Consider the following 25239-nt stretch of genomic DNA (forward strand, 5'->3'; position numbering starts at 1 on the left):
CTTGATCTAATACTCCCACCCCCATCCTTTGCACTCTACTTTTAAGGAGAAAGGCAAGTCATAGGTAGTAAGTTTATAACAAGAATTCGTTTAGAACCAAATGGCTTTTTGGTTTATGTACTGCAGTGTGTAAAAAATGGGTTGGCTCAGTTTCATCTACCAAATTAGAATGATCCTACCCTCCAAGTGTATTGTAAAACTTTTATGAACAGACTTAGCATATCCAGCATAAAAGTAGCCCATCCGTGAAAAAAGATGTGGGGAAAAAACAGATGGAATGAGAAAGTTCTGGTTCCTCTCTGGCCTGTGTTTTCCCTCTGGCCTGTGTTTTCCCTCTTGACGTGCTTCCTTACTTTGTGAGCACAAGTTTCAGTGGGTGCCAGGGGCACCAGTGCATTAAGAAGGTCATGCCTATTTTGCGACCAGTTTCCAGAAGGCTCTGCGGATCACAGAGATTGGTAGTAACATGGGGCATAGCCCAATTCAGCAGGAAACAGTTAAGAGCCGTTGTCGGCCAACCTCCCCAACAGCACTTGGGTTTTCCTGTTGAGAGCAGGGACTGAGAGACAGGACTAGCTGGATTTCCTAGGCCAACTAAGAATCCCTAGGCCTAGCTGGGAAGGTGACCACATCCACCTTTAAACACGAGGCTTGCAACTTAGCTCACACTCGACCAGTCAGGTAGTAAAGAGAGCTCACTAAAATTCCAATTAGGCAAAAACAGGAGGTAAAGAAATAGCCAATCATCTATCGCCTGAGAGCACAGGGAGAGGGACAGTGATCGGGATATAAACCTGGGCATTCAAGCCGGCAATGGCAACCCCCTTTGGGTCCCCTCCCATTTTATGGGAGCTCTGTTTTCATTCTATTAAATCTTGTAACTGCAAAAACAAACAAACAAACAAAAAACATGGGGCATAGCCACGTCCGTCGAGAGCTGCCAGAATCGGTGGGTCTAGGGTCTTGAATAAGATGCTTCTTCCCAGGAATGATGCCTCCCAGCTGGGTTCCCTAAGCTGCCTGCACATGTTTGACCAAGTGTGAGCTAAGCTGGGGTGGGTGCTTGGTTGGTTAAACATGAAGTTGCTTATGTGGCCTGAGACCTCTGGGCTGTTAAACCAGGAGCTGCTGGTATGCAGACCTATGCAGCCCGTGGGGTACACATAGCACATCTTCTCAAAAATGCCAATTTTACTAAGTTTGGGGGTGGGAACCCCTTCTATTTTAAATACTGAAACACAGATAAATTGTGGATTAAAATGAAAAATGGATGATTTTTTTAAAAGGGTGAGACAGACATGATACTTTATGCTAATTGGACTTTGAGCTGTGCCCCCAAATATTCCTTTTCACCCCTTGTTCATTCCATGTGTTTCCTCTCTTCTGCATGTAGGGTTTTCTATGAAAAAGCTTATTGCTGCACAATTTGGGAAGCCTGGGGATGTGTGGAGGTCCAGAGAGACTCAGAAAGGCTGGTTTGCATCTCCTAAGGGTAGCGTGGCTGGTAAGAGTCAGACTGCTGCATGGCTGTGCTCGCCATGTGTCATCTGTGATCTTGGACAAATGGTTGGGCTGTCTCAAGCCTCTGTTTCCACTCTGTAAAGTGGGAATAATACCAGTGTCATAGGATTGTTGTGGGTTAAATGCTGTGCAATGAAGAGGAGCTGGTGCTGGCTTTGTCTGTGTCTGTGGAAGGGTGGATAAGGAGATGAAGCCTCACCTGCTGCTTCTATTAGTGCCTCTCCTAGCCCTCTATCCTTACTTATTCATGTAGCAAGGTCTCTACATGCTGGAATTCACAGCCTTCTTTTATTGCTGGATCTCTTCTCTCTGCCCTTTGTCTCCCCTTAGATAACTCTAACTCCTCCAGACCTGATATCAAGATGAAAGGAAGGCTGGCTTGGGATCTGGAGTAGCTGAAGATCTGGAGTACCTGAAGACTACTCCAGAGGACTTTACCTCCAAGGGCAAGAAACCCATCTGGTGTGCTGCTCAAGGCTCTCCATAAGTGGAAGCATCAGGATAGTAGTGGGTGGAGCACTAGGAGAGGAAATGGGGAAGCAAGGATTTTGAAGGGCAGATGAGAGCCATTATCTTTAATCTCCATCCCCATTCCCATGGGTGCAGCTCTAAACATGTTGCAAGAAAAAGCAGATCCACATGGACTATGAATACTGGTCAACTGGCAAAATGAGCTTGGTTTGAGTATTAAATTAATAGTAATTATTATAATATCATCAGTGACTTAACAATTGATGCCCAGTGAACTGTACATGATTCTCTTGCAGGTATGTGTATTATTAGGTGTTCCAAGTCAGCCACCTTGAAAGAACTTTTATCAATAGAATGAACATCTGCCCAGCTTCTTGATTTTGAGCTGTCACCTGATCTTCTCACTTTCATCTCACAACCGTACTCCTCTCATCTACCCAGCTTAGAAACAGCTGTAAAATGACCTGGGGGTCTCCCTTCACCTATTCTGGAGAAGCTCAAAGACTTGGAAGGGTGGAGGGGAATGGCCCTCTTAGCTGTGTCCATAAAACAGAGACTTTGAAGGCTGAGGATTGGGACAGAAATGTGCCTTGATGTGTGTGTACGATTTCTCTATTCTTGTCTTCACTTCTCCAGATGTGTTTTGCACCTAACTTCCTTTCTCTCCCGTCCTTCAAACCTGACTTCAAACTCTCTTCATCTAGAAAACTGGCTCTGATTAATCCCATTATTGAACAACCTCTTTTCCCTCCCTCGGCTTTTCTATTCTTTCTACTTTAATGAGTTGGTACTTTTTCCAAAGGAGCTTTATAACTTTTCTCCAGCTGTTAAATGGGTCTTCTCCTGTTAGATTGTAAACTGAGGTACAAAGTCCTTCTTCCACCTTATCCCTTTTCTCTACCCATGAAGTGCCCTGCAACTATTTAAACATTAGTTAGAGACTTTGCCATGTATCAGAAGAAACACATTCTGTTGTTGTATTTATTGGTTTTAATTATAAAGCAGTTGGAATGCATTTTAGGATTCTGAATCTCCATAATTCTCTGCCAGCACTTTGCACCTAGTGGACCATTAGTAGGAATAATTTTCCATCCCTGCCTAGCTTCATAATTGTAGACACTTCTGCTGCACAAATGCTGGCAGGGCTCTCATGACTTAATTCTGAAATTGTATTTAGTGGCTAATACACAGAGAAGATTTGGCTATCTCCTCTGGTCTGCAGCTGACATGTGGCATGAGGGAATTTACATACAGTACCACGATCCAGTTCCCAGCCAAGAATTAAACGCCTGGAGGAGATCAGTTATTTAAATCTGAAGCAGTACAGCATGAATTATATTTAAGGTAGTTGCTGTTCTGGCTCTTGTATAAAGTTCTTTCAGCTCTGGGCTAAAGAATCATAATACCTGAAAACCTTCATGTCTGTTGTATGTTTATAAGAACATCCTTTTCTAAACTTGGGACCATTTACTTTCTGAGAGCAGTGGTACTGCATGTTAGAACAAAAAGCACACAACAAGCCAAAACCAAAATGTTTGCAGCTTTGTTGCCCTAGTGGGGTAAATTCTTTCCCATGAGAGAGCTGTTCTCTGTGTATTTTATACACTTTCCAAGTAGTTTACACAATCACGGGTTGTATACATTATCTTCAGCCTGCAAACTCGATGTGAACCTCACCCACTCTTGCCAACCCAACTCCCTTCCCACATCAGCCATTCCGTTTCCTCCTACTGCTTCCTGTGCTGTTGACCTAAAAGAATAAAAATGTTTGCACTAATATAATAGGGTACCTCCAAAACATAAAGGTCAGTGAAGACTAAACAAAAACCAAGAATAGTTTTAAATACACACCAACTCTATAGAGCAATCTATTAGCTCTAGGACCTTGAGTAAAGCACTTAACCCATTTGAATCTTAGTTAAGTGGAGGTAATAATAGGAGGTAATAATATTTGTCCCATCTATCTGATGAGAGCTGTTTTAGTCATATGAGAGAATTTATGTGGTAGCACTTTATAAATATGTACTACTTCTATGAAACTGAAGAGCTCAGCATGTTTGGTTCAAGTCTTGCTGCTTGCTGTTGGCACCATATGCAGTGTTTTATGACTTCTCATGAGTCTGGTCTCCTTACAAACCCTAAATGTGTGGACCTGAGCTGATTTTCATATCCTACTTAAACCAGAGAAACTTCTTGCTAATGAGAACTAGCCTAGGTGGCTTTAGTCCTGAATCTAATCACATTGAAATATATTCTTGATCCATGACTGTATTGTCAACATATCCCCATTTGCATAGTATGATCCACTTGAGAGCTGAGTTTTTGGCAATCTTTTTTAAATTGCCCTGAATCATGTGTTAATTCACACTCACTAACAGCATATGCTTGCATTAATAGCACCCATCTGTTCAACATCATAGTCTTCTAATTGTGTCTGTTATATTAAACTTCTCTTCCAAATATAAGTTTTGACTTAAAGTCAGCTCCTTAGTATATCCCTGGAACAGTGAAATGCCTTTATGTTTTGTCCCCTTAATTGAACAAGCTTGTCTTTATGTAAATTGGCATATTGGGGTGACTTTCTGGTGCCAAGCCATGGCTTGTTTCCACCTCCACCATCTGAAGTCACGAAGTGTGCTGGCTGTTACTTGTTGACTTCCTTTTTCTTCCCCCATACCGTGCTCCTCTTCCTCTTGTTCCTTCTATTGCCAGTCCTGCCTATGAAAAGCATCACCATGTTTTTCTTTCTTCTTCTAATTTGGATTTCATGTCACACAGGCTTGCTGCAGCCTTCTCGTCACTGTCCAGGTTAGGTTCCCTTCCATTCATTCTCTTTCACTCACCTCTTACCCTACCTGTTTTCTCCCATTAGCCTGTCACACCCACGCTATCTCTTTAGGCCGTTGGGCCTTCTAATAAGATATCATGGCATTAGTCATCTTCTGATCACTTCCTCTCTGCTGCCTTTGAACTTCTGTGATTTTTAAAAATACGGTAAAACTGACTAAATATTCATTGTACATTTTGAATGACCATGATCCTTTTCTAGAAGTTCAGATAGATCAGTTAGATGCATGAAAGTCATCCTTTGCAGTGGACCTGGTATTAATGCTTATTCCTCATTATTATTATTTTTTTTTCTGCAACTGAACATTAAAACAAATTTAGGCTGGACACAGTGGCTCACGCCTGTAATCTGAGCACTTTGGGAGGCCAAGGCAGGCAGATCACTTGCGGCCAGGAGTTCAAAACCAGCCTGGCCAACACAACGAAACCCCGTCTCTACTAAAAATACAAAATAATTAAATGAACGTGGTGATGTGTGCCTGTAATCCCAGCTACTTGGGAGGCTGAGGCATGAGAATGGCTTGAACTCAGGAGGTGGAGGTTGCAGTGAGCTGAGATCACACCACTGCATTCCAGCCTGGGCAACAGAATGAGACTGTCTTAAAAAAAGAAAAAAATTTAATCTCTTGTTATTTCTGATATAGATATAGTAAAGTAATACAGGTAAATGGTATAGAATATTTGGAAAATGTATAAGAATTAAAAAAAAAAAAAGAACAAATCTGACCTCAGGTGATCTACCCGAGTGCTGGGATTATAGGCGTGAGCCACCACGCCCAGCCCTTGTTTTTTTCTTTTCTTTTTTTTTTTTTGTTTGTTTTTATTATACTTTAAGTTCTAGGGTACATGTGCACAACGTGCAGGTTTGTTACATATGTATACATGTGCCATGTTGGTGTGCTGCACCATTAACTCATCATTTACATTAGGTATATCCCCTAATGCTATCCCTCTACCCTCCCCCCAGGAAGGGGGACAGCCCTTGTTTTTTCTTTTGATCTTATTACAACCCTGGCATTCCTCATGTGATCTAATTTGTCAATATTGAATATTAATTTTTTTCTGTTGCTGGACTATATTTGAGATTTTTGGATCTCTGAGAAAAAAGCCTATAATTTTACTTTTTATACTTTCAAGATAGTAACATTAATTTTATGTGGTTTTCAGGGAAAAACAAATTCACACAAATCTATCTGCTGATTAACAAGATATCTATAATAATAGCGACACTCTCAGAAAAGCAACACCCTCAGAAAAGCCTAATGGCTGCTGATGTCATCAAGCATTTACATGCAGGGAGATAGTGGCACTTCAGTTTAGTAGAAAGATCATGAACTTTGGAACCAGTTGTTTTGAATCCCAATTCTGCCATTTACCTGTTTTTATGATCTTAGAATTACCAAAGACTAAATTAGCTAACCTCTCTGAGTTTGTTTCCTATTCGAAAAATGTATTTTCCAATCAATTCCTATCTTTTTTTTTTTTTTTTTTTTTTTGAGATGGAGTCTCGCTCTGTAGCCCAGGCTGGAGTGCAGTGGCGCAATCTTGGCTCACTGCAACCTCCGCCTCCCAGGTCCCAGTTAAGCAATTCTCCTGCCTCAGCCTCCTGAGTAGCTGGGATTACAGGCTTGCGCCACCATGCCTAGCTAGTTTTTATATTTTTAGTAGAAACGGTGTTTCACCATGTTGGTCAGGCTGGTCTTGAACTCCTGACCTCATGATCCACCCGCCTCGGCCTTCCAAAGTGCTGGGATTAAAGGTATGAGCCACCGCACCCAGCCTTCAATTCCTATCTTAAAGAGGAATGCAGGGACTAAGAAGTAATATATGCAAAATATGTGATGTAGTAAGTGCATGTTAAGTATTAATCCTTTCTGTCTGTGTTTTTTTATTAACACATCATAAAGAGCTTACATTGATTAGAGGAATAAGTTATGTGCTGTATAATATACAGAAAAAAAACCCACTTGTAACCAAGAGATTGTTTTATTTTCTTGCATGTACCATTGAATCATGTGTGATCTATTTTTTCATTTTTCCTAATAGTCAAGGGAAAATTAAGCCAAGGCTCACTGTTCCCTTGTCTTCTAAAGCCTCCAACTTTGTAGGAATATCCTCTGCTATTTTACTATTTGGGGTGGTTTTTGTGAGGATAGGGACAGGGTGTTAGCAGTGACTTGCTACTCCTTGGGAACAGCCCAGAGGACTGTTGTTATAAGACCTGCTAATTCTGCTTAACAGTTGTAAAATATTATTATTTCTATGGGGCATTAAAGTTTATGTAAATATCTGGGTCTTTAAACTATTCATTATCTATAGAGAATAGGGAGAATTACTTTAGGATTGGTTCTAAATAACTTGAGACATTTTGCCCTGACCAACAGTTAAAGCATAAAAGGTTCATACCGAGTCATAGGGAGTTGAGTTTCTTTCCCTTCTTCTAAATATAGTAGAAGCTTATCCAAACTAAAGATTTTTAAATTACCTTCTGTTGTTGGAGTTAAATTTTTTAAATTGGCCTTGGAAACTTGACACTTCATTCTTTCTTACTGAGATCTGTATGGGGATGGGAGGACAGAGTGTATAGGAGCAGGCAGTGGGCAAATGGAATTTTCTCTGTGCCTACTTGGTAATAAGTAAGAGGTTTGGTTTCCAAACTGTGTCTTGAAATTGTAATTGTCCAAGAAATCCCAAATCTAGGAATCATTGCCTATAATTCTTCCAAATTAAGCAGGGTTCTAGATACACCCCACCCACAAACCCAGTCTGCAGGCCAGCCCTCTGTATATGGGCCTTAATGTCTCCATGGGCTGCTTTGGGTTTCTAGATAATGAAAAAAGAAATTAGATATATATATATTTTTTAATTATTATTATACTTTAAGTTTTAGGGTACATGTGCACAATGTGCAGGTTTGTTACATATGTATACATGTGCCACGTTGGTGTGCTGCACCCATTAACTCGTCCTTTAGCATTAGGTATATCTCCTAATGCTATCCCTCTCCCCTCCCCCCACCCCACAACAGTCCCCAAAGTGTGATGTTCCACTTCCTGTGTCCATGTGTTCTCATTGTTCATTTCCCACCTATGAGTGAGAACATGCGGTGTTTGGTTTTTTTGTCCTTGCAATAGTTTGCTGAGAATGATGGTTTCCAGTTTCATCCATGTCCCTACAAAGGACATGAACTCATCATTTTTTATGGCTGCATAGTATTCCATGGTGTATATGTGCCACATTTTCTTAATCCAGTCTATCATTGTTGGACATTTGGGTTGGTTCCAAGTCTTTGCTATTGTGAATAGTGCCGCAATAAACATACGTGTGCATGTGTCTTTATAGCAGCATGATTTATAATCCTTTGGGTATATACCCAGTAATGGGATGGCTGGGTCAAATAGTATTTCTAGTTCTAGATCCCTGAGGAATCACCACACTAACTTCCACAATGGTTGAACTAGTTTACAGTCCCACCAACAGTGTAAAAGTGTTCCTATTTCTCCACATCCTCTTCAGCACCTGTTGTTTCCTGACTTTTTAATGATTGCCATTCTAACTGGTGTGAGATGGTATCTCATTTTGGTTTTGATTTGCAAGAAATTAGATATTCTTATTCAGATTTACACAGCGGACCAAATGAATTTTTCTCTTGTGTGAAATTTATAAATAATTCTTCTATTCTGGAAAGACATCCTGGGTTTGGAGACCCAGGCTTGGTTTAAAAACAAATGAACAGTCTGATGCAGTGGCTCACACCTGTAATCCCAGCACTTTGGGAGGCTGAGGTGGGCATCCCTCAGGAGGTCAGGAGTTTGAGACCTGCCTGGCCAACTTGGTGAAACCCTGTCTCTACTAAAAATACAAAAAAAATTTAGCCTGGCATGGTGGCGCATGCCTGTAGTCCCAGCTACTTGAGAGGCTGAGTCATGAGAATCGCTTGAACCCAGGAGGCAGAGGTTGCAGTGAGCCAAGATCGTACTACTGCACTCCAGCCTGGGCAACAAGAGCGAGACTCTGTCTCAAAAAAAAAAAAAAAAAAAAAAGAGAACAAACAAAACCAACAAGTGTTAAGTAGATGTTTGTAAGTATGAAAATAGTGTGGGGACTTTTGTATGAAAGTGGGATTAAGGAACCCTCTTTCATGTGTAGATCCTGATGCCATGTACATTGAAAGCATATTTGCAGAAAAGGATAAATTATTTTCGTAAAGCCTAAACTATCTCTCCATTTTCCTGCATAATTATGACAAGCTTCTTAACTATTCCAGGCCCTAGTGACCTCACTGCAACAAAGAGGGTATTGGCAGCCAATCAGGAACTCTAACTCTTGTTGGTAAACTTGTCTTGTCACTGTTAGTTACCCTCACTTCTCCACCTGGGAAATTCTTCTAATGCCAAACTTGAAGATTTGGGGCTTTGTGTTATTATGGTAGGTGGCCATAGTCGCTTACAGCCTTGTCTAACCCGAATATCCTCTGAAGTTGTGTGTTGATTTATAACTTTGGAAGGTTCTTAGAAATGTGTCATGGGGGAACAGTTCCAGGAATGATGTGGAAGGCAGGCTTTCCATAAAGTTCCCCTGCCCTTAGTATCTTGTGTGACTATTATGAGAGCAGCAAACTTCGTAGGACTAAACTTGGAAGGACACAGCATCTCTGCCTTGAAGCACAAAGTTGAGCACACCATTCAGCAGCCTTTACTAAGCACCTATTATTTCTTTTGCCCTTGGTAGGGATATAGAAATGGATGAGACTCGAGGGCCTGTGCTCAGTGTCTCATAATTTTAGTGTCTTGATGAAGCCATGTTTTTAACATGGGGGTGGCAGTCTCTTTCATCGTTTCAGATTCTTTAGAGTGCCTGTGAATACGTATTGGTTTACTAACAACTTCGGCCTAGGGTTTGCCTATTTTTCAAAAGAAAATTCAGTTTAAGGAAGTTTGATTATGTAGTCCTTTAAAGCTTAAGATTAAGCAGTTGTGAAATACTTTTGGAAGCTGGTATGAAGCAGGAATGTACCACGGGTCAAATTTACAGAGGGTATCAGCTTACCTGAAATCTTGGACTTTAGGTTCTCTCATCTTTATATTCCATTCTCCCATTCCCACCCCAGTTTTAGTGTCTTGGAATCAGTTCTCTTCCTTCTAGTGTGTTCTTTGATGTATAAATGCCATCTCTGATAACTATTCTTTAAGTTGTGAGAGGGGGCAGATATCCTTTTAGGTATTTTCTTCCAGATAAAAGCAGTTCCCAACTCTTAGAAGATGGTTCAATGAACAATTGAAATGAATTATCTATTCAAGTATACTTAGGATTCCTTGTAGAAATTTTGAAACACATAGAATAACAATGTGTATTTATAATGCTAAGGCTGGGCACCATGGCTCACTCCTGTAATCCCAGCACTTTGGGAGGCGTAAACTGGAGGACTGTTTGAGCTCAGGGGTAAGTTCAAGGCCAGCGTGGGTAACATAGTGAGACCTTTTCTCTACTGAAAATAAATAAAGGTTAAATTTTTAAAAATACAAAATAAATGCTAAATTGTGGACATATTTTTTTCTTTCTTTCTTTCTTTTTTGAGACAGGGTCTTGCTTTGTCACCCAGGCTGGAATACAGTGGCGCGATCATAGTTTGCTGCAGCCTCCACTTCATGGGCTCAAGTAATCCTGCCTCAGCCTTCCGAGTAGCTGAGACTATAGGCTTGCACCACCACACTCAGCCAATTTTTTGTATTTTTTTGTAGAGATGGGGCTTCACCATGTTGCCCATGCTAGTCTCAAACTCCTGAACTCAAGGGATTCATTCACCTTGGCCTCCCAAAGTGGTGGGAGCTACCCCAGCCGGACATATTTCTATGAATTGGTAATTCCTGGTTTTCTGCTTTTCCTTGAAGAGAAACACCCTAAATAATACCCTATTACAGAACAGATTCCAAGCCCTGGTTTTGGGGCCTCTTGCCAACCCTCCCTTCAATATATCCCTCAAATCTAAGCATTTCGTAATTATGCCAAACTTTCAATTGTTTAATAAAAACTTTGAGAGACCTTTTGAGTCATATTCATCACTTTGTGTTCCATCTCCATAATAAACTGGCACCAAGCAGCCACTCAAATGTTTGTTGAACAAATGAGTGAATTTTAATACAAAGTGTATGGTGGCCTTGGTGTCTCTGTGTGAAGGTAGCAGGTAGAGAATAGGGGAAATTAAACAGCGACCATGTCAACTCCTTATTGAATTAGGTAGATTTTGGGCTATTTTTACATTGGATTTTGTACGTGTTCTTTGGGAAATGGACTCCTAAAGGACCCTTTCATTTCTAATTTATACTTCTATTTCAAAATACTCTCTAACAACTTGCTTTCATTCTGCTCCTTGAATCTGTGAATAAGCCTTATTGTGTAATTTTCATAGAATGCAATTGCTTTGAACTGTCATCTGATGCTGCAAGTGGTATTTTGTGAGTTGCTAATACATCAGAAAGCTGTGTTCTTCACAATGTCCTCATGTTTTTTGTGGTTCACGGCAGCAAGTAAAGATGAACTGTGGAGGTTGCAGTTAATCAAGTTACTTTAAAATGAAAAGAATTTTGAAGCCACTTAAATGACCTGCTTCTTGGGCTTGGCAGTGACAAGTCCCTTCCTGGGCCCACTTAGATTTAACAGCAGGAGGTACTGGGCAAAGAATAAGGGCTGCAATGTTGACAGACCTTAGTTCCGGCCCTGGCTTTACCATTGACCCAGCAAATAGCTGTGGGCAGTCCCTTTCCCTTGCTTGACTTTGGTTTCCTCATTTATAGGAAAGAGATAATGCCTATCTCTGAGGGTGATCATGAGAACCACAGAACCACACAGTAACATATGGAAACGTCCTTTATAGGCAGTAAAGCCACATCTTAAGTGAATTATTTTATTAGCTCCATGATGGATCTTTAAATGACAGTGTTATTATCCATGCCAGTGGTTCTTATCAAAAGCCACTACTTAGTAAATATTGAGTAATGCAGAAATATTTGCAGGCAGTCTCTGTGGCCCAGAAGGACTTGCTTTTGCTGTTAAGATTTTCTCAAATTCCCTAACCTTCCTAGACTTACAATTTGACAGTAGATTATGAAAGGTGTTCTCTCCCATTCAAGGAAGGTGAGGCCAAAGTGTGTGTAGTTAGAAAGTCAGTGGGCCAGGCAGAAGGTCAGAAGGCAAGGAATGGGTATGTACAAGGAAGTCCCATGAGGGTACACATTTTTTATACTTATTACCCTGTGTCTGGTGCTTTGACTCACATGTGGCACATAGAACCTACGAATTGAACATTAGTTGAGTAAAGTCCACAGAATGGTGCTATCTTTGCTCCATTAATGATCATACTCTTATTGAGTGTAAATAAATAAAATTACCTCACAGAGATATTTTGGAGCCCTTTGGGAGCCTTTCCCGATAAGATATTTTATTTTTTCATCATATATTTTTACAGAGCATGCAGCCTGTGCAGGGAGGTGTGCTGGGCACCATGAGGACACAAATACGTCTTCTAGGAGTTTACTGTTAACCAAAGCAGGATAGGAGGGCATTTTGAGCTGAGACAATCAGGAAGACTTTGGGAAGAAAAGTGCCCACTGGGTCAAGCCTGGAAGATAGGTAGGATCCCACTAGATGGGGTCAATATGTTGCAATTGCAATTTAAAGCTTTGTGGGTGTGTATTTTAATTCACACATTAAGTAAAATCTCTTATTTGGACAGGATGATAACAGAGTTTGGGAGCCCCTCAGCAGCTGTCCTGGGCTGGTACAATATTGCATGGTTTGTGGAGGCAGTTGTGGGCAGAGGCCGAGGGACGGGGTTCTGCTGGGGCTTCTGTCTTCTGCTGGGGGGTTAGTTGAGGCCGGAAGGGTGCAGCAGCATAGGAAAGATGGGGAGAGCACCGCCTTTTTAATGTGACTCCAGTGCCCACTCTTCCAAGTTGGGGATGGTGTGACAAGCACATGGGCTCCCACTAGGAGTTTTATTTTGGATCCAAACCTTACTGTTTCTGAAGTACTTACTATAAAATGAAAATATCCTGTCAGAAATGGGAAAGTCTTTAAGCTGAAATTAAAAAGAGAAACTGGAAATCATGAGGTATCTTGGGGATTAACTGTTCAGAACAGTAGAGATGGAGGATTAGGTGATGGTATGTGAGTGTGGCAGGTATCATTTAAGAAAACACAGGGAAAGAAATATAACTTTTTTTTTGAGACAGAGTCTCATACTGTCACCTAGGCTGGAGTGCAGTGGTGCCATCTCAGCTCACTGCAACCTCCGCCTCCTGGGTTGAAGCGATTCTCCTGCCTGAGCCTCCTGAGTAGCTGGGATTACAGCTGGGATTACCACCGCGCCTGGCTAATTTTTGTATTTTTAGTAGAGATGGGATTTCACCATGTTGCCCAGGCTAGTCTGGAACTCCTGACTCAGTAATCTGCCTGCCTCGACCTCCCAAAGTGCTGGGATTACAGGCGTGAGCCACCGTGCCTGGCCTAAAAATTATAATTTTTAAAGTCTATTCATTATGGAGTAATGATGAGCTCACTTAGTGAGGATTCACTGGAAGGTAGTTTTTCTGTACGCGCAGAGTGCTATCTATGTGCAAGGAGCCCTGACAAATTGGCAGGAGACATGAAGATGATCAAAAGCTTCCTCTAAGGATCCCCTAGTTTGGAGAGACAGACAGACTGATTTACAGTGGGGGGCTTTTCTGATGAGTGATGTAATAAAAATGTGAACTAAAGTGCCAAGGAGAGCCAATGGATTTAGATTCAGAGATCCATGGAATTTTGCCTGAGATGATGTGAAAGGCACCACCTGCAGAAGGTGGGAGAATGGCTTTCCAGGCAGAGAGAAGGGTGGAGCAGAAGCACTCAGCGTTGGAGGGAGTGGTGTGGTCCTGGAACACGGTGCTGCCTGGGAGCTCTGGCTAAAGTGTGGGCTTCCTGGATGTGGGGAGATGCAAAGTGCTCTAGAACTTGTTCTGTAGGAAATAGGGGAGCCATCAAAAGTTTTGAGAGGGGAAGTAATAAGGAAGACGCTTCTGTTGGCCATGGGGAGAATGAGTGGAAAAGGGGTAGTGGCTGAGTGACTAGACCTGTTCTGAGAGTTTTATGGGAGAGACATTAAGACCTGGACTCTCGCAATGGAGGTGCAGAGGAAGATTGAGAGCTTCTGTACTTTTCTGAAATGTGAGAGCTCAGTTTTAAAGTTTAGATTGGACTGAGTTTATTAAAGAAAAAGAAAATGTTTTTGACACATGTCAATCTTTGTTGACACCCGTTGGTATCAATGCTGTGGGGTGAGGTCTCCATGTTCAAGGAATGGAGCCACAATGGAAAATTGGGAGTGGTAGGAAGGGGGATGGGACAAGGATGAGGACATCCATGGAAGCTCCTGCCCGTTTGCACACTGCTTTTTTTTTTTTTTTTTTTTTTTCCCTGAGACTGAGTCTAACTCTATCGCCCAGGGTGGAGTACAGTGGCACAATCTTGGCTCACTGCAACCTCCACCTCCCAGGTTCAAGTGATTCTCCTGATTCTCTTGCCTCAGCCTCCCAAGTAGCTGGGACTACAGGTGCCCCCCACCACACCTGGCTAATTTTTTGTATTTTTAGTAGAGATGGGGTTTCACCGTGTTAGCCAGGATGGTCTGGATCTCCTGACCTTGTGATCCGCCCACCTCAGCCTTCCAAAGTGCTGGGATTACAGGCGTGAGCCGCCGCACCTGGCCTTGATTCACTTGTTAGAAATAATACTGTAAAAATAAAAAAACTAGCCAAGTGTGGTGGCGTGTGCCTGTAGTCCCAGCTACTTGGGAGGCTGAGGTGAGAAGATTGCTTGAGCCCAGGAGGCTGAGGTTGCAGTAAGTCATGATGGCACCACTGCACTCCAGCCTGGGTGACAGTGCCAGTTCCTGTCTCAAAAAAAAAAAAAATAAAAATAAAGGAAAAGAAATGATATTGTAAAATCCAAAGGCAAATTTCTCTCTCTGCCTGGTGTTTCAATACTCCTGTCTCTGAATGTTAAATGTTCAGCTGCATATGATTTTTTTCTGATTGATTGTCTCAGGTGTTTAATGAAGACTGCCTTTGTAAATCACATGTTGTTATCCTCTATTTCTAGCTATTGTGGACGATGAAAGGCTCTCTGCAGAGGAGATGGATGAGAGGAGGCGGCAGAACATTGCTTATGAATATCTGTGCCACTTAGAGGAAGCCAAAAGGTAAGATCCAGACTTAGTCTATTTGTGCACCATCTCTTGGAGATAAGCTTTGTGATAAGGGCGTGGGATTTGATGACCAGAGGGTTCTGAAATGGGCCAGCAATTCTAAAGAGTTGTCGTAGTTGGAGATGGCCAGGGAGAGATTCTTGCCTGCACTCAGTGATTTAGATTTGGCCAAACCTCCCATGCCAGGAGGCCAGTGGGCTAGGGGATGACCCCTCCACACTCTGCTCCACTCCTGAGTCACAGCTGGGTGCACATCACACTCCTGTGCATATGCTACATAGTTCTAATAACTCATTTGCAGTCTTGTTGGCAGCAGGATAATGGGAGAAGAAGCATCTATTTCTTGCAAATGGTTGGGCAGAGTTGAGAAAAAGTTGATGCCACAGCCAAAGTTGAGGCACTAGGAGGAAGGCAACTATTCATTTCCCTGCCTCGGAGCCTCCCAGGAAATCACGGGGCCAACTGCAGATTGTTTCAAATTCTTCATCTCACTGGCTTGGATGTAGAGGAGCAACAATGACTTAAATCAACTTCCTTTTTCCGCAGAGCTTCCTTGGGTCTTTTCCCCACTCGCAGCCCAATGATGATAAATGCCCAGCAGGACAGTGGCATATCAGACTGAAGTCCATCAGTCCCTAAGTAGGTTTATGACAGCAATCTCCTCTTTAAACCGTGGGTGTGTGGCCACTTAGGGTATATTGTCTCTAAAATCACATTGACTCTTTTAGGCTTTTTAGATTAAATAAATGTTGCGTTCTCCAAGGAGAAAGTGAAGATAAAGAGTCCTAAGTGCAAATACTTTCCTCATGAGAGGAATTGAGAGAACTTTATCCTTTGTGGGGTGAATACTACAGAGTTCATATACCATGAGTTAGAGTTTGATTGAATGCTTTATGCCAGGGTGGAGCGACAGTATTGTTCCCTGGACAAAGATATGTTCCAGCCCTCTTAGCTATATAGAAATAAATACTTGGTTAAATGGTCACTGGTGTTAATTATCTCTGATCACTGATGAATGGCTATCTACAGAACTAGAATGATGAGGTTTTTAATCAGTATTTTGGTGACACATGCCCTAATTTGACATCAAAATTGCTTTCAAGGGGTTTCTCAGAGTTGTTTAATATTTTAGTAGTGTCACGTAACTTTCTTTAGGCTCTAAAAACCAAGTTTTAAAGATTGTTTAACATGTCTGTGAAGTCTACAGTTAGGTTGCAGGATGCTAGCGATTCACTATCAGTCTAAGATCATTAAAAACATGCTTTTAGTCAAGTTGTCGCAAAAAAGTTAGATAAGGAGATTGATTCATAGGCATTAGAAAGAAGTGGTCCCAACCACTCCTGAGGCTAAGGTGGGAGGATCACTTGAGCCTGGGAGGTGGAGGCTGCAGTGAGCTGAGATCGGGCTGCTGCACTCCAGCCTGGGTGGCAGAGTGAGACGCTGTCTTTAAAAAAAAAAAAAAAAAAAAGGAAAAGAAAGAAAGAAAAAGAAAAGAAAAAATATACTTTCAGTGAATAAGTTCAAGGAGATAGTAGAAAAACTTACTTTTCTATTGATACTCACTTTACATTTTGTTTTTGCCTCCTGTTTTTAACAAGTGGGAAGGGGTGTCATGTAGAGGAAAATGATATGTGATTGGGAGTTGGTTTGCCTAACTTCCTGGTCCCAGCTCCACCACTTACACAAGCAGCTTGACCTTCCACAGACCATTTTACCTGTGGGAAGTTCAATTTGTCCCCTCTGTAAATGAGACAATCAAGATGATGTTACTTATTGCCCTACTTATTCATGGATTCAAGGATTTTTAAAAAATCATTTAAAGAAGGTGAAAGTATTCTGTAAGCTATAGTGCCAGTCAGGTTTATGGTGATAACATAAGCAAAGTTTTCTCCTCAGTATATTGAAATGGTATAAATGTAGCTTGAAAGCTTGTCATCTTCTCTAGTATTTTTGAAATTCTGTAGTTGAATTTTGTTTCAGAAAGTCAGCATAATGATTATTTCAGATTCTTTGAGGAAAACTTTCCTTGGAATAGTTTCATGAAAATAATTATCAAAATGTACAATTTTTCCTCTAAGATGGCTTTTCATAAATTTATTTGATGAGTATATTAGATGTAGTATATATTTATGAATCTTTTATTAAGACACAAATACTTTTTTTCTTTTTTCTTTTTCTTTTTTTTTTTCTGAGATGGAGTCTCACTCTGTCGCCCAGGCTAGACTGCAGTGGCGGGATCTCAGCTCACTGCAACCTCTGCCTCCTGGGTTCAAGTGATTCTCCTGCCTCAGCCTCCCAAGCAGCTGAGATTACAGGCGCTCACCACTACACCTGGCTAATTTTTGTATTTTTAGTAGAGATGGAGTTTCACCATGTTAGCCAGGCTGGTCTCGAACTCCTGACCTCAAGTGATCCGCCCACCTCGGCTCCCAAAGTGCTGGGATGACAGGCGTGAGCCACTCACTGTACTCGGCCAAGACACAAATACTTTGAAAGAAGCTGATTTTTGGTCATGGATTATATAAAAATTTGTGGCTACTACTAGACATATAGTTGTGCTGATTTAAGAAAGCATAGTGCACAGAAAACTCATGGTCTTGAATGCAAGAAATACAGGAAAGGGTGAATTTGTCTTTCTTGAAAAGATGAGAGGATTTATTGCATGATTCTTTTAAAGTATTAGTACCTTTGGAATTTGTGATATTGGGTTTATTATAATGCACATATGTGTGTTCACATGAATGGAGTTGACTTAGAATATTGAGTTTCTACTAAATTGTATGCTTGTACTGTATATATTCATCTAGGAAGTGTTTCTTGTTTCTGATTTCAGTTGAAATGACTTTATTGCATTTTAATTAAAAATGTATTGGTTCTGTCTTTGCACCTGTTTTTCTTTCTGGAGGTGAGAATTGGAAGGTATCTAGTTTGTATATCCTGTAACTTAAGATTTTTACAAATTGAGAATTATAATATTCCAGTATATCTTTTATTTTGGTTTTATTAATTTCAAAATTCTATAATAAATCAGGCCATTGAAAAGTTCTTTATTCAGAGGGGACATCACTACCAACATTACAGAAATACAAAGGATTATAAAGGAATACTATGAACAATTACATGCCAATGAAAACTTAGAGGAAATTGACAAATTCCTAGAATGACAAGCTACTAAAACTGACTCAATAAGAGACTTAAACATCTGAAAAAAACTAATATAAACAGAATGAGACTTATAATAAGTGAAGAGCCTGACTTAGAAATCAGAAAACTTCCCACAAACCCAGATAACTTCACAGTAGAATTCTGCCAAATGTTTAAAGAAGAATTAAGAGCAGTCCTTGCAAACTCTTCCAAAAAATACGAAAAGAGAAAACATTTTCCAATTCATTCTTCTGAGGCCTACATTACCCTAATACCAAAACCAGATAGCCATCTCAAGAAAACTAAAGACCAATATCTCTTATGAATACAAATGCAAAAATCCTTAGCAAAATACTAGCAAATCAAATCCAGCAACATATAAAATATATTTAATACCATCAAGTGAGATTTATCCTAGGAAGCAAGCTTGGTTTAAGACCTGAAAGTCAATATCATAGACCATATTAATGGAAGAAAGGACAGAAGCCATATGATCATCTCAATATATGCAGGAGAAGCATTTGGTAAAATCCAGCCCCCTTTCTTGACTTAAAACGTTCAACAAACTAGGAATAGAAGAGAATTTCAACCTGATAAAGGACATCTATGAAAAACCTACAAGTAACACCATACTCAGTGGTGAAATACAGGAATAAGGATGTTTTTTCTTACCACTTCTGTTTAACATTGTACTGGAGATTTTAGCCAGGCAGTTAGGCAAGAAAAATAAGCAAAAGGCATCCAGGTTAGAAAGGAAGACGTGAAACTATTTCTAAGGGATGTTTTCTGGTTTATAGAAAATCCATAGGAATCTACTAAAAAACAGAACAGAAGAAAACACTAAGAAAACCCCACCACAATGAGTCCATCATGGTTGTAGGATACTAGGGGAGTGTGTAAAAATGGCATTTCTTGACACGAGCAATAAGCAATCTGAAAATGAAATTAAGAAAGCAATTCACTATATGATAGCATTAAAAACAATAAAATTCTTAGGAATAAAATTAACAAAAGAAGTACAAGAATTGAACACTGAAAACTACAACACATTGAAAATTTTAAAACTCTTAAATAGACAGAAAGACATCTCATGTTCATGGATTGGAAAATAGCATTAAGAAAACAATGGTCCCAAATTGATTTATAGATTCAATACAGTTTCTAGAAATATTCCCAGCTGCCTTCTTTTTTTTTAAATGGAGAAATTAGAAAGCTGATTCTAAAATTTATATGGTGGCCAGGTCTGGTGGCTTGTGCTTATCTTCCAGCACTTTGGGAGGCTGAGATGGGAGTATTGCTTGAGGCCAGGAGTTTGAGACCAGCCTAGGTAATGTAGCGAAACCCTGTCTCTGCAAAAAAAAAAAATTTTGAATTAGCTAGATGTGGTGGCATGCACCAGTAGACCTAGCTACTCTGGAGGCTGAGGCGTGAAGATCACTCAGGAGGCTGAGGATGCAGTGAGTTACGATCACACCACTGCACTCCAGGCTGGATGACAGAGCAAGACCTTGTCTCAAAAACAAGAACAAAAATAAAGTTTATATGGAGATGCAAGGAATGCAGAATAGTCAAAAGTGTCTTGAAAAAGAAACGCAAAGTTGGAGGACTCATTTTTCAATTTCAAAACGTACTTACAAAGCCCACAGTAATTGAGACAGTATGGTACTGGCATAAGGATATGCATATAGATCAATAGAGTAGATTTGAGAGTCTAGAAATAAACCCTAACACTTCTGGTAAACTGATTTTCATCAGCAGAATAAAGTCAATTCACTGGGAGTGAGAGAAGATGCCCTTTTCAACAGAGGATGCTGACTACTCAGTGTCTACATACATAAAAATGAATTTGGACCTCTGCCTCACACCGTATACAAACATTTTCTTAAAATGGATTATTAACCTAAATGTGAGAGCCACAACTGTAAATCTCTCCAGAAGAAAACAGGAGTAAATCTTTGTAGCCTTGGGTGTTAGGCATTGGTTTCTGAGCTATGACACCAAAGCACAACCAATAAAAGAAAAACAGATAAATTAGACATTATAAAAACTGAAACCTTTTCTGATTCAAGAGATACCATCAAGAAAGTGAAAAGACAAATCATGTGTCTGATAAAGGTTACATGTATTCAGAATATACAAAGGGTTCTTAAGTCGGGTGAGGTGGCTCACACCTGTAATCCCAGCACTTTGGGAGGCTAAGGCCAGCAGATCGCTTGAGCCCAGGAGATCGAGACCAGCCTGGGCAACATGGTGAAACCCCATCGCTACAAAAAAATAGAAAAATTAGCTGGATGTGGTGGCACATGCCTGTAGTCCCAGCTACTCTGGAGGCTAAAGTGGGAGAATTGCTTGAGCCTGGGAGGTGGAGGTTGCAGTGAGCTGAGATCACACTGCACTCTACTCTAACCTGGGTGACAGAGCAAGACTCTGTCTCAAAAAAATAAAAATAAAAGTAAAGCACTTTTAAATTCTACATAAAGAGTTAATAGCCTAATTTTAAAATGGGCAAAAGTTCTGAATAGACATGTCTCCAAAGAAGATACACAAGTGATCAATAAGCATATGACAAGGTAGTCAACATCATTAGTCATCAGGGAAATACAAATCAAAACCACAATGAGATGTTACTTCATACCCACCAGCGTAGCTATAATCAAAGATGGACAATAACAAATGTTAGTGAGGATGTAGAGAAATCAAAACTCATACATTGCTGAACAGATTGTAAAATGGTGCAGCTACTTTAGAAAATAGTCTGGCAGCTCTTTAAAAAATTAAACAGAGTTACCATATGACCCAGCAATTATCCTCCCAGGTATATACGAATGAAAATTGAAAATCTATGCCCATACAAAAACTTGTACTCGAATGTTCACAGAATCATTATTCATAATGACAAAAAGCAGAAACAATCCAAATGTCTACCCACTGATAAACGGTGATGTATCCATACAATGAAATATTTCTCAGCTATAAAAAAGAATGAAGTACTGATACATACTACAACATGGATGAACCTTAAAAACATGTTGAGTGAAAGAAGCTAGACACAAAAGGCCACATATTATATGAAATGTCCAGAATAGACAAATCCACAGAGACAAAGTAGATTAGTGATTGCCAGGGCCTAGGGGAAGAAGAGAAATGCTGGGTAACTGCTACTGGGTATGGGATTTCTTTTTGGGCTGATAAAAATATTCTAAAATTGATTGTGGTGATGGTTGCACAACTTTGAGTATACTAAGAACCACTGAGTTGTTTACTTTAAAAGGGAGAATTGTATGGTATATAAGTTGTATCTCAATAAAGCTATTTATTAAAGATAATTTCCTTACACTGGCTTGGAGAGGTCCTTAGGAAGCTGTTAAATAAGATCAATTGGTATTAGCAGATACATTGCATATAGAAGGTACCCCTAAGATACACGAGATATCTAAATACTGTGTTTGTTTTACAGATATTTATTGAGCATCCTTTATGTGTAAACAAGCCTAGGAGGGTTGTTTTGGGAGATGGAGTTCAGGCAACAAATAATGCTGTGCTCAGAAAAACTCGCCATTTGGTTGAACTTTTTACTCAAGAGTTTAAAGTTATTTTCCTTCATTTATGTTTGCTCTGTTAATCTCTCTGTATATGTGTATCATCTCCATATCCAGCCATCATCCTCCTAAACAGCTCTCATATGTTCACCTCTCTATCCCACCACTGCTAGCCCGCCAAAGGATTCCAGCATCTCTTGTGAGACTACTGTAGTGGTCCTTAACTGGTTTCTTCATGAGTCTCTAGCCTCCTTCAATCCTTTATCTGTCTTATAGTCAGATAAATCTTTTCAAAACTCTGAGCAAACTCCTTTACTTGGCCTCATAGGCTCTGCATAGTCCAGTTCAACCTCTTTAGTTTTACATTGTGCCGCACTGCTCTGTGCTTCAACCACATTGATCTGTTTTATTCCCTGTTCCCTCCTGCACAGGACCTTGCCATGTGCTATTCGCTTTTCATATTCCTCTTTATCTAGTCAGACTTACTTCCTCTTCAGATTGCAGCTCACTTTTTCAGGGTATCCTTCTCTGGCTTCCACATCCAGGTCAAACTCACCGATTAGAAGGCCTTTTGACATCACATCTATTGCATGTTTGAATGAATAACGTAATGCCCAGTGTTGGATCAGTATCATTCGCTACTAAGGAGGTTTGATTATGCTCTGTTTTCTGTACATTTTGGATGTTGGAGGTAACAAGGAGGATATGAATCAGACTCACGGTAGACAGCTAGACTGCCAGCCTAGCGGTAATCTTTGTTTCACTGGAAAATTCTATATTGCAGTTAGATGATGCAAGTCCTTCCCGACAGGTTTGTGACCCAGTAAGTTATGAAGCTGGGAATTCCAGACAACTTAATAAGCCGTGATACCACAGTGAACTAGAAAATATCCAGAAAGGCGTATAGAGTATTGCTCAATGAATGAATGAAGAGAGAAAGAGGAAGCCTGTGTATTAGGAGGACTTAAGGCTGAAATTATTGCTCAAACTTTATAAAATTATGAAGTCTTTACGTATAGATGTTAAGACTCAAAAAATGAATTTTTTTTTTTTTTGAGACGTAGTGTCACTCTGTTGCCCAAGCTGGAATGCAGTGCAGTGGTGCGATCTCGGCTCACCGTAACCTCCACCTCCTGGGTTCAAACGATTATTTCTCCTGCCTCAGCCTCCCAAGTAGCTAGGATTACAGAAGTATGCCACCATGTCTGGCTAATTTTTATATTGTTGTAGAGACAGGATCTCACCATGTTGGCCAGGCTGGTCTCAAACTCTTGGCCTCAAGTGATCCGCCTGCATTGGCCTCCAAAAGTGCTGGGATTACAGGCATGAGCCACCGCTCCTGGCCTCAAAAAACTAATATTGATGGCAATGAACAAAATATTAAACAGGCTTTTTTTTTTAGGGCCAAAAAGAAGTAATTTGGCTCTTCACCCAAATTACTTCACCCTACAGGCTGAAGGATTCAGATGAAGTGGAGAGTGAATCACTTCTGTTAAGAGGCAAAGGATGTCTTGTATATGTATTAGTTGCCTATGACTATATAACAAGTTATTCTAAAACTTAGTAGCTTAAAACAATAAACATTTATCTCGGAATTTTTGAGGGTCAGAAATCTGTCATTGCTTAACTGGGTCCTCTGGTTTTGGGTCTCTCACAAAGCTGCAGTCATCTCACAGTTCACGTGGGGCACACCCACTTCCAAGCCACCCAGTGACACTGGCAGGATTCAGTTTCTGACAGGTTTTTGGACTGGAGATCTCAGTTCCTTGCTGCTGTTGGCCAGAGTCTTCCCTCAGTTGCTCACCACTTGGGCCTCTTACACATGGAAACTTACACATGGCAACTGGTTTCCATCAGAGTAGGCAACTGAGAGAAGAAGATGGAAGCTAGTCTTTTTGTAACCTATTCTTAGCAATGACACCCATCATTTATGCTGTATCCTATTCATTAGAATCGAGTTACTAAGTCAAGGCCATGCTCAAGGGGAGGAGTTTTCCACAAGGGGTTGAATTCAGAGGGATGGGGATGACTGGGGCACCACCTTAGAAGCTGCCTTTCACAGGGTGTCTTCATAGGCTTTTGAAATGGACCCCAGAAAGGGAATTTGAGGATAAAATTATTTTTGTTACTATTAGAAACTCAATCAGAAATTGAATCCTTCCTGATCTGAATGCTTACGGTTCTAAGCTTACTGCTGCCTTGATTGTTTTTTGTTGGTTTGTGTTTTTGTTTTTAATTTTAAGGGTCTTGCTGTGTTGCCCAGGCTGGATTCAAACTCCTGGGCTCAAACAATCCTCCAGCTTCAGCCTCCCAAGTAGCTGAGGCTACAGTTGCTTGCTACCATGCCTGGCAACTCCCTTGATTTTTTTTAATTGGGAGCTGTTTTAAACTAAGCCTTTTCATTTCTTTGTCATTTAAAATAATACTAAATGGACTTTTTAGGTTTCCTTTTCAAGTAGGCCCTCAAAGCTAACTTTATAGCTTCTTTGCTGTGGGGCTTTTGCTGAAATGAAACTGTACAGACAAGTCTACTACTAATATGGGCTTTGAAATGTCCTCTCTGATGCCAGAAATCCTACTATTTAAATTAAAGGAGTAACTTTTCCAAAAGAATTAGTACTGCTGAGTAGATTTTATATTAATCTGCCTAAAATTTATTCAAATAATGAAAATGAATCTGTTTTAAGAAATTCAGTCTTTTAGTTTTTAGGACAACTATGCAAAAATGTACGATGGAGAATTCTTTTTGGATAAACTCTAGGTTGAGGAACTTAATCCAACCGGAGCTATTGTGAAGGTCAGAAAACAGGAGAGGGAATCTTGGCAAGGAATGGAGACGGAGTTTGCAAATTGCAGCTTGAGTAAATAGTTATGAATGGGACTGCTATTGTGTCTCCCAAGGAAAGTTCCTGTGATATTATATTCCTTTTTTAAGGAAAGAGAAAATGCACAGAAAACTTTTGCTGTGCTTCCTTTTTCTGTCCTACCTCTGAAAATAAACTAAGCAAAAAAAAAAAAAAAAAAAAAACACCCTTCCCTTGGTGATAGGCTTGTTTAGAAATATTATCTTCAAAGGTCTCTTTAGGTAAGCCAAGCCATTGGCTATATTGGTGAGTCTGGGACAGTTATATATGTGCCCTGGAAAGAAAACAAAACACGGGTGTGATTCCTTTTGTGTCAGTGTTTACAACTCAGATACCAAAAGAACACCTTGTTGATTAAATCAAGTCTCAAGCTCTGGCCTTATCTAGTGGTGAGTTAGAGAATCAGATTTGAAAGGAGAAGTGCTTCAAATGTTTAAGCAAGTGAAAGCCATGAGTTGCTTAACAGTCAATATTCATGATTAGTTTAAAAAAAAAAAGAGAATCTTCTGACTGGGGAATACTTTAGAGAATCCAGTGGATTTCCTCTGCATGCTTGGACCTCACTATCCTTATTCCTAGGACATACCCATGGATAAGCAATGCTAATAAG

General features: G+C 40.3%; 1 protein-coding gene across 4 annotated transcripts in view; it reads left to right on the top strand.

Moving 5' to 3' along the window:
* The window catches only part of IQGAP2 (IQ motif containing GTPase activating protein 2), a 304848-nt gene that overhangs the window by 43309 nt on the left and 236300 nt on the right, over positions 1-25239 (top strand). For all 4 annotated transcript variants that reach the window (NM_006633.5, XM_017008960.2, XM_047416641.1 and 1 more), the window contains exon 2: positions 14977-15076. In NM_006633.5, coding sequence (NP_006624.3) covers positions 14977-15076 — 100 coding nt within the window. The remainder of the gene's footprint in view (positions 1-14976; positions 15077-25239) is intronic.

This window comes from Homo sapiens, chromosome 5 (genome assembly GCF_000001405.40).
Source record: "Homo sapiens chromosome 5, GRCh38.p14 Primary Assembly".
NCBI lineage: Eukaryota > Metazoa > Chordata > Mammalia > Primates > Hominidae > Homo > Homo sapiens.